General features: G+C 40.3%; 1 annotated feature.

Annotated features, from left to right (window-relative positions):
- Window positions 2,914-3,208: a silencer, noted in NCBI's record as "tiled region #5250; HepG2 Repressive non-DNase unmatched - State 21:Repr". NCBI's record gives its function as "represses a minimal TATA promoter and a strong SV40 promoter by Sharpr-MPRA in HepG2 cells {active_cell/tissue: HepG2}" and the evidence as "EXISTENCE:reporter gene assay evidence [ECO:0000049][PMID:27701403]".

Genomic DNA, 12,828 nt, shown 5'->3' on the forward strand with positions numbered 1-12,828 from the left:
CATGGTAATGACTGAGTTCTCTATGAGTTCACACGAGAGCTGATTGTTTAAAAGAACATGGCACGACACGCATCTCTCTCTCTCTCTTGCTCCCTCTCTTGCCATGTGGTATGCCAGCTCCCGCTCTGCCTTCCACCATGATTGTGAGCTTCCTGAGGCCTCACTAGAAGCTGTGCAGATGTTGACGCCATGCTTGTACAGCCTGCAGAATCGTAGGCCAAATAAACTTCTTTCTAAAATAAATTCCCAACCTCAGGTAACTCTTTATAGCAGTATCTTTGGCTATAAAATAATACAGAAATAATATAATAGTATCTGTATCACCTCATCATATAGAATAAAGTAATACATGTAAAGCTCTAAGAACATTATGTGTTCATTCTGTGTCAGTACATGATGTTAGCCATGGCAATGACAAATAGAGGAAAAAGAGGAAATCCAGAATAGAGGTTGAAATAGAAAGCAGGGACCAGAACAAGATTGATCTGGTGAGGTCTTGTGGAATTAACCTGAGGGGAATACTTTGATGAATTTTAAGCAGGAATGTGGCATGATTACTTACGTATTTTAGTTGACTGGCTGCCTGGCTAAATGGAAAACAGATTGAGGGAGACAAGACTGGAGGTAGGAGAAGGGCGAGGACAAGAGTGAAATGAGGACAGCACTTGCTTTTTGTGCACACCTTAAGGAGGCACCAAAATATTTGGGAATCAAGATAAATGAAATTTTAATGCAATATTTTACAAAATCAAATTAATGCAAAAAAACCATGATGAACAACTTATGAAAATTTAAATAAAGCAGGGTTATTAGGGAGTTCACTGAAAGGATGTTCTAATAATCCAAGTCAGAGATGATGAGAGCCTAAAGCAGAGGGGTAGCCCTGGGTATGAAGATAGTTGGACAGACTAAGGAAACCTATGGAAGGAATCGGGTGAGGGGAGGGTCTGGTAATATCTTTTACTGAGAGAGTTACACAAAAGCAGGCAGGAGTTTACCTGGCAGCATAGGCAGAATATGTCAAGGAGGAAATTCAGTTCTATTTTGCACATATTGAGCTTAAGAAGCCTCTGATTCATTCAAGTGGAGATTCTAGTCAGAAGTTGAAATATGTAACTACAATGAAGCAAAACCTGCTACTTATACACATCCCCAGCTTTTCTATTTCTTATATGTTAACCTCTAAATTTCTTCACTAATGTTTTCTTCCCAGTTCCTGACCAGTTCTTTGGGAGGAAAGAAAAGGATCTTAAAGGACCTAAATTCTTGGGGTATAGAAGCAAATTGGGAGCTAATTTTTGGAAGGGAGAGGACAAGAGAATGTCAGGCATGAGTTAGAGTGACTGATCTTCCCTTTGTCCCTGAACCATTTCCAGATCATTACATTTTTACTCTCATTGTTTCTTTATGTTCACGACATCAGCTGTGTCAACCTCTAATCTCTGTTGGTGCTGTCACTTACTGACAACGTGGCCATTTTCTCTTTCTCATCAAAGACTTTGTCCCCTTGGATGTGCCACACACTACATCGTAAAATTACCTAAACTCTTTCACTCTTAGTTCATACATTCCAACATACCTCTCTAGAACTTTAATGTTCCAACTCTTCCCTCAATCATTCCTATTATATTGGTTCCTTGAGCTCATAAATACTTAATAGGGCTGGGCGCAGTGGCCTGTAATCCCAGCACTTTGGGAGGCTGAGGTGGGCGGATCACCCGAGGTCAGGAGCTTGAGGCCAGCCTGGCCAACATGGTGAAACCCTGTTTCTACTAAAAATACAAAAATTTGCCGGGCATGGCGGCAGGCACCTGTAATCCCAGCTACTCTGGAGGCTGAGGCAGGAGAATTGCTTGAACCCAGTAGGCAGAGGTTGCAGTGAGCCGAGATCTCACCATTGCACTCCAGCCTGGGCGACAAGAGCCAACAGCAAGACTCTGTCTCAAAAAAGAAAAAAAAATACTTAATGGCCCTTGATCCCCTTGACTGGATGTCTATCAGCACCTTTCCACCTTACCTCCCACCCCTATTCAGATAACACTAAAGTGACCCGTCTTTTCAGCCATTTTTGTGCCGATATCCTCACTTTCCATGCTGTATCCGAAACAACCATCATTTGGGGGTCTGATAGTCCCCCAAATCTGAAAGCATAAGAGCAGTCTGTGCACTGCACAAAAGCACCCAGCAAAGGGGACAAATGGGAAAAAACTAAAGCTTTGCTCAGAGTCCTGGGGTAGATCTGTCCTGAGCATGTACCTTTCTCTAATTTGCCACATAGTTTAGGGCAGAGGTTTACAAACTACGGACCCCACAGACCAAATCAACCTGCTGCCAATTTTTGTATGGCCCACAAGCTAAGAATTTTTTGTTTTTAAACAGTTGAAAAAAAATCAAAGGACGAGTAATGTTTTGTGACATGAAACGTGTTAAATTCAGATTTCAGTGAACATAAGTGTTACTGGAACACAGCCATGCTCATTTGTTTATATATTATCTGTGGCTGATTTTATACTACAAAGGCAGAGTTGAATAGCTGTGATTGAAACTGTACAGCCTGCAAATCCTAAAATATGTACTATCTGGCTCTTTATAGGAAAAGTTTGCCTACTCCTGGTCTAGCAGGTTTATTGTCTACTTTCTCTGTACTAATACCTGGGCTGTTAAATATTTGCTAGAGAAAATCCATCAATCATATAGATTGGTGCCACAATACAGTCACAATTTCTAACCCCTCCTGAAAAGTCAACATTACCTGGAAACCCTCTAATTTTCCTCATCAGCTCTCTCTCCTCATTTCTTCAGCCTTTCACTTTTCCTACTCTTCTAAGCCTCCGAAACACTTCACCCCCTCATTTCAAAAGATGCTTCAGTCCTACTTCAAAGTGAAAATAGAAACCATCAGATTAACACTCTTAGTTTCCTGCTCCTGCACCTATAAATTTGCCCACAGCTGCCTTCATCCTTTATTTACTACCTCTTGTTTCAGAAGTGGGAACTTTTCACTCATTTAAAGCAATTTCTTCAACCAGTGCCTTGACAGTTCATTGTATGTGTCAAGTTGACTGGGTTAAGTGATAACACAAATAGCTGATAAAACATTTCTGGGTGTGTCTCTGAAGGTGTTTCCAGAAGAGATTAGCATTCGGCTCAGTAGACTCAGTAAAGATAATCCACCCTTGCCAATGTAGGCAGGCACCATCCAATCCCTTGAGTGCCCAGATGGAACAAAAAGGCAAAGAAAAGGCAAATTCTCACTTTCTTGTGTAGCCAAAACAACCATCATCCCCTGCCTTGGAATACCAGAGTTCCAGGCTCTCAGGACTCACACCAGCAACGCCTATACACATACACTACTTGTCCCTGGCTTTCAGGCTTTTGAACTGAGAGTTACAGCATTGGCTCCCCTGATTCTCAGGCTTTGAGATTCAGACTGAATTACACTATTAGCTTTCTTGGTTCTCCAGCTTGCAAAACAGCGTATCATTCTAATTCTTGTCCTCCATAATCACATGAGCCAATTCCCGTAATAAATCCTCTCATATATCTATCTTTCTATGTATCTTATTAGTTGTAATTCTCTAGAGAACCTTAACTAATACAGATTTTGGTAACAAGAGTGATTCTAGAGGAACAGAATTTTTTAAATGAGTTTTCTGAATTGGTTTTGGGGTTCTGGAACTGGCTCTTTAATCTGATTAGATCTAAAAATGCTCAGGATCTCATTTCCCGTAGTAAAGAAAGCACTAATAGTCCATGCTGTGAATTGTTTATAGAAATATGCAAAATATCTGCATTGGATATTCCTAATCAACCCCTTATAAGAGGCAAGGAGGTGAGTAACTCTGTATATGATAGTTTCAAATATTTTTGTAAAACTGAAAAATATAATGATGTTGATTGGTTGCTACTAATGCCACTGGATAAAGTAATGAAAGAAAATGATGAGCTCAGGAATTTAAATTCCCAGGTCAAGCACAGCATAAATAACCTAAGAGCTTCTAGGTGTGCCATAAAGGACAGCCTTATTTCCTATAGTGTAGGGTATCTACTGTCAAAGTATAGGCACCAACTGGGAAAGAATGAAATCCTATAAGTTGGAATGGGGACATGTGGGTAGACCCTGATGAACCTGGGGACCTTGAGTCCCTAAATTCTGATTAGTCCTCTTTGCCAGTAGATGAGGTCTTCTCACCCTCAGCAAAGGCCTCCCCAACCCAAATGGACAAAGACAAGTGCCCTGGATGCCTTCCTCTTCTCCAGTGTCCTACAGTGAGTGATTAGCCCTTCTGTCTCTTGAAGCTTAACATTTCCCTGTCTATTGGTTCCTTATCATTAGCATTTTTTTGAGACCAGTATCTGGAGTGAAGTGGTACAATTATGGCTCACTGCAGCTTTGACCTTCTGGGCTCAAGTGATCCTCCCATCTCAGCCTCCCAAGTAGCTGGGTCCACAGGGGTGTGCCACAGCACCAAGCTAGTTTTTTTATTTTTTACAGAGATAAGGTCTTGCTATGTTTCTCAGGCTGGTCTCGAACTCCCGGGCTCAAGCGATCCTCCCTCCTCGGCCTCCCAAAGTGCTGGAATTACAGGTGTGAGCCACTGGACCTGGTCCTCCTTACCATTAGCATTTTGATGATGCTATTATCAGTTGACACAGTTAGTCTCACACTCTCCTCCTTGAAACAATTTGTTCACTTGGTTTCCAGGATATCCCATTTCCAGTTGTCTGCCTTCCTCAATGGGCCACTCCTCCATTGTCTCATTTACTCATTTCTTCTCATGTCTCCTGCCTATAAACCAGTAGTTTTCAAACTTTTTGGTATCAAGGCCCCATTTACATTCTTAAAAATTATTAAAGCTCTCAAAGAGCTTTTGGTTATGTGGCTTTTATCTATCAGTTATGATTGTATCAGAAATTAAAGTTGAGACTTGAAAAGAATTATTGATTAATTTGTTTAAGTATGATAATTAGAAACCCACTACATGTTAACAGAAATACAATTTTTATGAAAAAATAGCTACATTTTCAAAACCTATGTACAATTTTTATGAAAAAAACTGTTTTTCAAAACAAATTAGTGAGAAAACTGGTATTGTTTTATAGTTTTGAAAATGTATTTACTGTCTAGTGTGGGGCTAGGTTCTGCAAACTACAGCCTATTGGACAAATTCAGACCACTGCTTGTTTTTATAAATATTTATTGGAATACAACCATGTTCATTAACTTACACAGTATTTGTGGCAGCTTTCTCACTACAATGAAAGAGTTGCATATTTGTGACAAAGAGAGACTATATGGCAGGCAAATCCTAAAATATCAACTATTTGGACTTTCATGGAAAAGGTTTGCCCACTCCTATTCTAGTTTAAAAGAAGACAGCTGGAGTGTCATTTCTCCTTCTAATTCAATCTATTCTAATGCATTGTTTGGGTTGAAGGATATGAAGAAAATCTGACCTAACTTAGGTAATATATTTGGAAAAAGGAAGAGTATTTTAATAGTCTTTTGAAATAATTTTGGATGTCCCCCTTTGATTTTGTACTTGAACTCCAAGTGGTAGTTTCTTGAAGGTCACTTGTAAAGTGCAATCTAAAGCTGTATCAGTAAACTTTTTGTACTCAGTTATGTGAAAATCTATTGTCTATCCTGCACTTTAAATGGCTTTTTTACCCATTCATGATTTTGTAACATTATGCATTGGTCAATTAGAAAATATTAGTTCCCTGAATTATGCAGATTTTTCAAATGTTGACACATCTCATTATATAATATCAAAAAATCACATTTCCTAATATCACTACTGATCTCACCTGACAATATTGGGAAGCTGTCAAGCTTACAGAGGCAAATCTTCCAAAATTTTTGCTTGAAAGTTTAAATGTTATCACTGGCAACAAATACAGTCAGTTGTTTTCCTTAAAGTGACAAGGTCACTTGGTTATTTTCTTTCTTTTTTTTTTTTTTTTTTTTTTTTTTTTGAGACGGAATCTCTCTCTGTCACCCAGCCTGGAGCGCAGTGGCGCGATCTCGGCTCACGGCAAGCTCCGCCTCCTGGGTTCCCGCCATTCTCCTGCCTCAGCCTCCCGAGTAGCTGGGACTACAGGCACCCGCCACCGCGCCCGGCTAATTTTTTTGTATTTTTAGTAGAGACAGGGTTTCACTATGTTAGCCAGGATGGTCTCAATCTCCTGACCTCGTGATCCACCCACCTCGGCCTCCCAAAGTGCTGGGATTACAGGCGTGAGCCACCGCACCCGGCCTACTTGGTTTATTTTCAAGAAAATGTCTGCCAAAAACCCAAGTTTGAATAAACCTAATTTTTCTGTTAGTTGATTTTCAGATAAAAAAATGTGTTTCATAAAGAAAGTCATCCAGCCTTCAATTCAAACAATGGCACAAGTGTCTTTCCTTGAGCCAATCAAAGTATTTTACTTTGGACCAGAAGTACTTTATGAGAAGTTTCCATGTTTTTACACTGAACATTGTTAATAAATAGATGTGTAATAAAGGATCATCAGGAATGGTTACTCTCTCCTCAGAGGCATTCTTACATTTTCATTTTAAACTACGAGAACAATAGTTGGCATTTCATTTTAACTACAAGAGCAACAGTGGTGAAGCATATAATAACTTCTAATTGAGTTTAGTACCACTGTCTTTGATTTATGCTGAAGTGACAGCAATTTACCCACCATTGTTTTTGTATTTCAGTGCGATTGTCAACACAGTAAAAAAAGAAAAAAAAAAGGCAGATAATATCTTTGTATGATTATGAAAATGTAGTTTTGACCTCCAGGTTTCCATATAAGAGTCTTAGGGAACCCCATGGGACCACAGATCATACTTTGAGAACAGCTGCTCTAAACATTGAAGTGTCTGTCTCAGAATTTAGTTATTGGATCTTCTCAATTTGCTCTAAATCCCTAGAAAATTCCATCTAGACTCATGGCTTTCAATCTTATTTCTATGCTCACAACTCTGAAGTTTATATCTCATATATAAATCAAGAATCATTGTCCTGCAGACTGGATGTCTATAGGTATTTCTAACTTAACATTCCTGAACAGAATCCCTGATGTTATTGTCCTCCCCCAGCTTACTAGTTTTGCCCTTTTTCTCATGTCATCATCTGGCCAAAAAATCCTTGAGACTTCTTGATTCTCTTTCTTTCACCTCACATTAAATCTATCAACAAACTTTCTCATAATTTAGAACCCAGATTCTGACCATTTCTCATCATCTGCACTGCTACTACCCGACTGCCACCATCATGTCTCAACTAGCTTACTGTATCACCTTGCTAAATTGTCTCCCTCCTTCTTTCTTTGGCTACCTATGTTGTTGTGGTTTTTTTTCCAACATAGCAACCAGAGTAATCTTCTTGAAAGGTCAGATCATGTCACTCTGGCTCGAAATATTCGAATGTCTTCCCATCTCACTCAAAATAAAAACCAAACTTCTTACAATGGTATATTAATTACCTATTGCTGCACAAAAATCAACCCCAAAACATAGTGCCTTGAAACATCATCCATTTTATTTGCTAATAATTTTATGGGCCAACGCAACTCGAGCTGGACTCAGATGAGATATTCTTCTATTGGTATTGCTGGGAATTACTCATGTGACTGAAATCGTGAGGTAGCTTGACTGGGGCTAGATTTTCTGAAAAATGCAGTTACGTGCCTGGCGGTTAGTGCTGCTGTTGGTTGGGCCAAATGACTCCAGCATGAAGCCTACTAGCTCAGGCTTTTTTATATGGCAACCTCAAGGGTGTAAGAGAGGGCAAAGCAAATCACAGTGCCAAGCCTGGAGTCACTGTGGTGCTGCAGGATATTTTCTTGACCCCTTTGTAGGACTTGCGACAGAAGTGCCCCTTTAACTCAGCCCACCCTGCTCAACCCCTCACAGGTGGGAGAACTTAGGTGCCGTAAGGAGCAAACTCCACTCTCTCGGGTCTACTGTGCTCCACTCCTCAGGGGAGGGAGTGCTCAAGTGAGCAAGTGTGGGAACCAGCAGGAGCAAACTCCATGCAGGCCCCACGGCAGCATCCAGGTTGGGGTGCCTATGACTCCAAGGCCCCAGAGGGTGTGTTACAATGCTCCCTTAGCTCTGCTGTCTGCAAACAGCAGTGTCACATGGGGCAGCTTCCCTCCACCAGTGAGGGCAAAGGGCCAGTATGACAGCTTTTTTTGGGTACCTGTGCTTAGTGCATCCCGAATTCTTTTCTGGTGCTCAAAAGGAATGAGGTCATACAGACGAACTGAAGCATGGTGAATGTGGAGAATTTTATTCAGTGATGAAAGCAACTCTCAGCGGAGAGGGGAGCTGGAAAGGGGATGGGAAGGGCAGGTTGCTCTCCCCTGAGGTTAAGTCACCTCTCTGTCTCAAGGGCAGGTTGCTCTCCCCTGAGGTTAAGTCACCTCTCTGTCTCTCTCTTCGGAAGTCAAATTGCCTCTTTCTGACATCCAGCTGCTTTCTCTGAGGTCAACTTGCTTCTTCCCAACATCCAGCCACTTCTCTCCTCTGCCAGCTGAGTCTGGAGTCTTTACAGACACAGGATGCGGTGGGGAAGGCCGTAGATAGCTTTGGAACAGGCAATATTTGATTGGTAGAAAGACATTATTCAGAAAGAACCAATAGGGAGGGAAAGAGCAGGCACACAGGGATGCAAGTTCTCACTTTGGGTGCTGGGTTTCAGGCTTTTCACCTGGAAGGTGAGGTTTTGCCAGAGACCCGCCCCTGTCTGCCTAGAATTTCTCTTCCTCCAGCCTCTATCATTGGATCAGTGGGAGGGGTCTAACAAAGTATGGACCAGTGATGTGCCAAAGGTGGGACCATGAGAGCAGCCTATCTTAAGAGCAGGCACTAAGCAGATGTATTGTCCATTGAGAATCTTGAAACAGTACTAAAACCTACTAAAAATTACTTTGATTTTTATTAGCACAGTGAGCCATTAATTCTAGATAATGGCAATGATAGCATACTCCTTCCTGAAAAATTATTTTGTTGGTTTAGTTTTAGTAATTGTTACAGATACTATTACATTTTATTTTATTTTATGATTATTATTTTTTATGAGATGGAGTCTCGCTCTGTTGCCCAGGCTGGATTGCAGTGGTTTGATCTTGGCTCACTGCAATCTCTGCCTCCTGGTTTCAAGGGATTCTCCAGCCTCAGCCTCCCAAGTAGCTGGGATTACAGGCACTCACCAGCATGCCCCACTAATGTTTTGTATTTTTAGTAGAGATGGGGTTTTACCACGTTGGACAGGCTGGTTTTGAACTCCTGACCTCAAGTGATCTGCCTGCCTCAGCCTCCCAAAGTGCTAGGATTACAGGTGTGAGCCACCAGGCGTGAGGTTAAGAGGTAACTTAACCTCAGGGGAGAGCGACCTGCCCTTCCCATCCCCTTTCCAGCTCCCCTCTCCACTGAGAGTTGTTTTCATCACTCACCTAGCCACATTTTTATTACTTTTTAAATAAACGTTTTATTCTACATGGTAGCTAATTCAGAGAATTTCCAATTATATAGTTGCCTCCAACACACATAGACTCAGCTACCTGTGTTGGTTGCAAAATTACATTTTCAACATTTATGAATAATTTGAGCTCCCTTGGATCCTGTCTCCAATCCCCATAGCACTACCTATTCCTGAATTTATACAGTAGATTCTAAATTAGAAATCAGGCTGGGCACAGTGACTCATGCCTGTAATCCCAGCACTTTGGGAGGCTGAGGTAGGAGGATTGCTTGAGCCAAAGAGTCAAAGTTCAAATGGTTAGGCAGACAGAAAAGCCATTAAATAAGTCAATGTGCTTTTTAGTGTATATTTGCTCTTTATTTTTTACTGGCAGTATTGTATAAAAGTTGAATAGAAGAACATTTTTACTATATTTCTTTTCTGATCATTATTATGATTCATTTTATTTTATGATTATTTCTGAGAATAATTTTTTCATGTCAAAGAGGGAGTTGTTAAAAATTATCTGCTTGGAAGATGAAAAAATTTCTGGAAATAGATGCTGGTGATGGTTGCCAACAATGTAAATGTATTTAATGACACTGAATTGCACACTTAAAAGAGGCTAAAATGACAAATTGTATGCCATGTATATTTTACCACAATTTAAAAAAAACCTGCTTGGGCCACACTCCAGAGTATTAAATTGGAATATCTGGGGGTGGGACCTAAGTATCTTTTATATTTGTGATTTGTAAGTTTACTTTGAAAGTAGTAAAGAACAGAATAAGTACTAAGAAAATGGGATTTGTGATGGAGAGGGCAGATCTGAAAATTTTCTAAAAAAAGAAAAAGCCACAAAAACAGCTTAAAATAATGAGAAAGGAGATGATAAAGATGGAGAAGAGTAAAAAAAAATCAAATTTAATAAGTATAGGATTGCCTGAGGAGCAAATGAGAACAATGGGAACAGAAACGAAAATGAAAGATGTAACTGAGGAAAATGTGGCTGAGAGAAAAAAAAAGAAAACAACCAATTTGAGCCTATAAATTAGAAAAGCTTGCTGTATTTTAGGCAAAGTCAGTAACAGGGGACTCATATCTTTATAGAGCCTAAAGAGAATGATGGTTTATTTTGCATTACCAATAAATTTTGGTTAAAAAAATTGTACTGTGGGTCAAATGTACTAGGTATACCACTGGTATGTATACAAGGTAGCATACTTCACTTGGAACGATTATGGAAACAATCTACCATAAAGCCTTATGAAATAGGTGACCACAGGTGGGACGCAGTGGCTCACATCTGTTATCCCAGCACTTTGGGAGGCTGAGGTGGGCAAATGGCTTGAGCCCAGGAGTTCAAGACCAGCCTGAGCAACATGACAAAACACTGTATCTACAAAAAATACAAAAATTAGCTGGCTGTGGTGACACGCACTTGTAGTCCCAGCTACTTGGGAGGCTGAGGTGGGAGGATCACCTGAGCCTGGGAGATCAAGACTGCAGTGAGCCATGATTGCACCACTGCACTCCAGCCTGGGTGACAGAGTGAGACTGTGTCTAAAAAAAAAAAAATGACCACATATCCTACTGCCCGCTCACTTTAGCATCTTCCTGGATTTTTCATTTTAAATAAAATATGATTATCATTTTAAATAAAATATAATAATGCAATAGATGCATTTTAATAATCTGAGATGATTTTGGTAAGCCTTCACTTTATACTTCCAGCTTCTGTCACGGTGTCTTCTAGTAGTATGAGAGATGTAAGTGCACCAAACAGAGACTTCAGCTACGCGCATGTTAAATCTTAAATGTGATCAGGTTATCAGTCTTTCCCCAGCCCTTTCCAGACATAAAATAACTTATGCTCCATTTTGAAGATACCCATTCAGGGAATCTGTGAATATAGAAAAGTTCACTTGGACATGAGCAGCAAGGATCAGCTGAAGTTGGTCTCAGGTGGCAGTGAGTGAAGTAATTAATTAACACAGCTGTTCCTTCCAGCCACTTAGTTTATCAGCCAGTTGTGCCATGACCTGTGCCTGGCATGTGTTTTAGCTTGCAAGATGCACATATCCACCAGTCTGCCAGTCCCTGGAGATGAGTGAGAAATATAATAAATTGTTGGTTGGAAGTACATTGGTTAGAAGTACATGAGATACATGCAGGGAATAAAGGTGGCACAGTCCTACTATAAAAGTATATTGAGAAGTCTGGGAACTTTTTTTTTTTTTTGAAACGAAGTTTCACTCTTGTTGCCCAGGCTGAAGTGCAATGCTGCGATCTGGGCTCATTGCAACCTCCGCCTCCCGGGGTCAAGTGATTCTCCTGCCTCAGCCTCCAGAGTAGCTGGGACTACAGGCATGCATGACCACACCCAGCTAATTTTGTATTTTTAGTAGAGATGGGATTTCTCCATCTTGGTCAGGCTGGTCTTGAACTCCTGACCTGAGGTGATCTGCCCACCTCAGCCTCCCAAAGTGCTGGTATCACAGGCGTGAGCCACCACACCTGGCCAGGAATTTTTAGTACTATGTTTTGTCATTCATTGCACAATTCACATATAAAATGGCTTAGTTATACTATTGAGTGGTAATGCATTTTTATTTTATAATAAGCCTTTTTAGCAATAATGAGCTTAAAAATAATGTAAGCAATTGTATTAGTCTGTTAAGGTTGCTGTAACAAAGTACCCACAATGTGGGTGGCTTAAAGAACATAAATTCATTGTCTCACAGTTCTGAAGGCTGGAAGTCCAAAATCAAGGTGTCAGTGGGATTGGTTCCTTCTGAGGGCTATGAAAGAGAATCTGTTCCATGCCTCTACCCTAGCTTCTGGTGAATTGCTGGCAAACTTTGGCATTCCATGGCTTGCAAAACTATCATCCCAATTCTCTGCCATTATTTTAACATGGCATTTCCCTTGTGTTCATGTCTGTGTCCAAATTTCTCCCTTTTTGTAAGGACACCGTCACATAATTACTTTTTGTAAGGACACGGTCACATTGGATTAGAGGGGCACTCTACTCCAGTATTACCTCATCTTAACTAATTAAGCCTAAAATGACCCTATTCCCAAATAAGATCATATTCTGCAATACTGGTGCTAGGACTTTAATATACAAATTTGTTGGGGTGGGGTGGGGCACAATTTGACCCATAACATATGTGTTTAATGAAAAAATTACTGCGTTTCCATTTCTTAAGAACATTAATGATGGACGTGTTATTTGAACAGCATGTTTGCCACTATTTACATCCACCATAGGGACCATAGTAATATCACTGACTACTGAAAATCCAAAATAAACAAATCAGTTAAAGAAACATTGGCTTCTACTTTAAAAGTGAATACTTAA

This window comes from Homo sapiens, chromosome 12 (assembly GCF_000001405.40).
Source record: "Homo sapiens chromosome 12, GRCh38.p14 Primary Assembly".
Classification (NCBI taxonomy): Eukaryota; Metazoa; Chordata; class Mammalia; order Primates; family Hominidae; genus Homo; species Homo sapiens.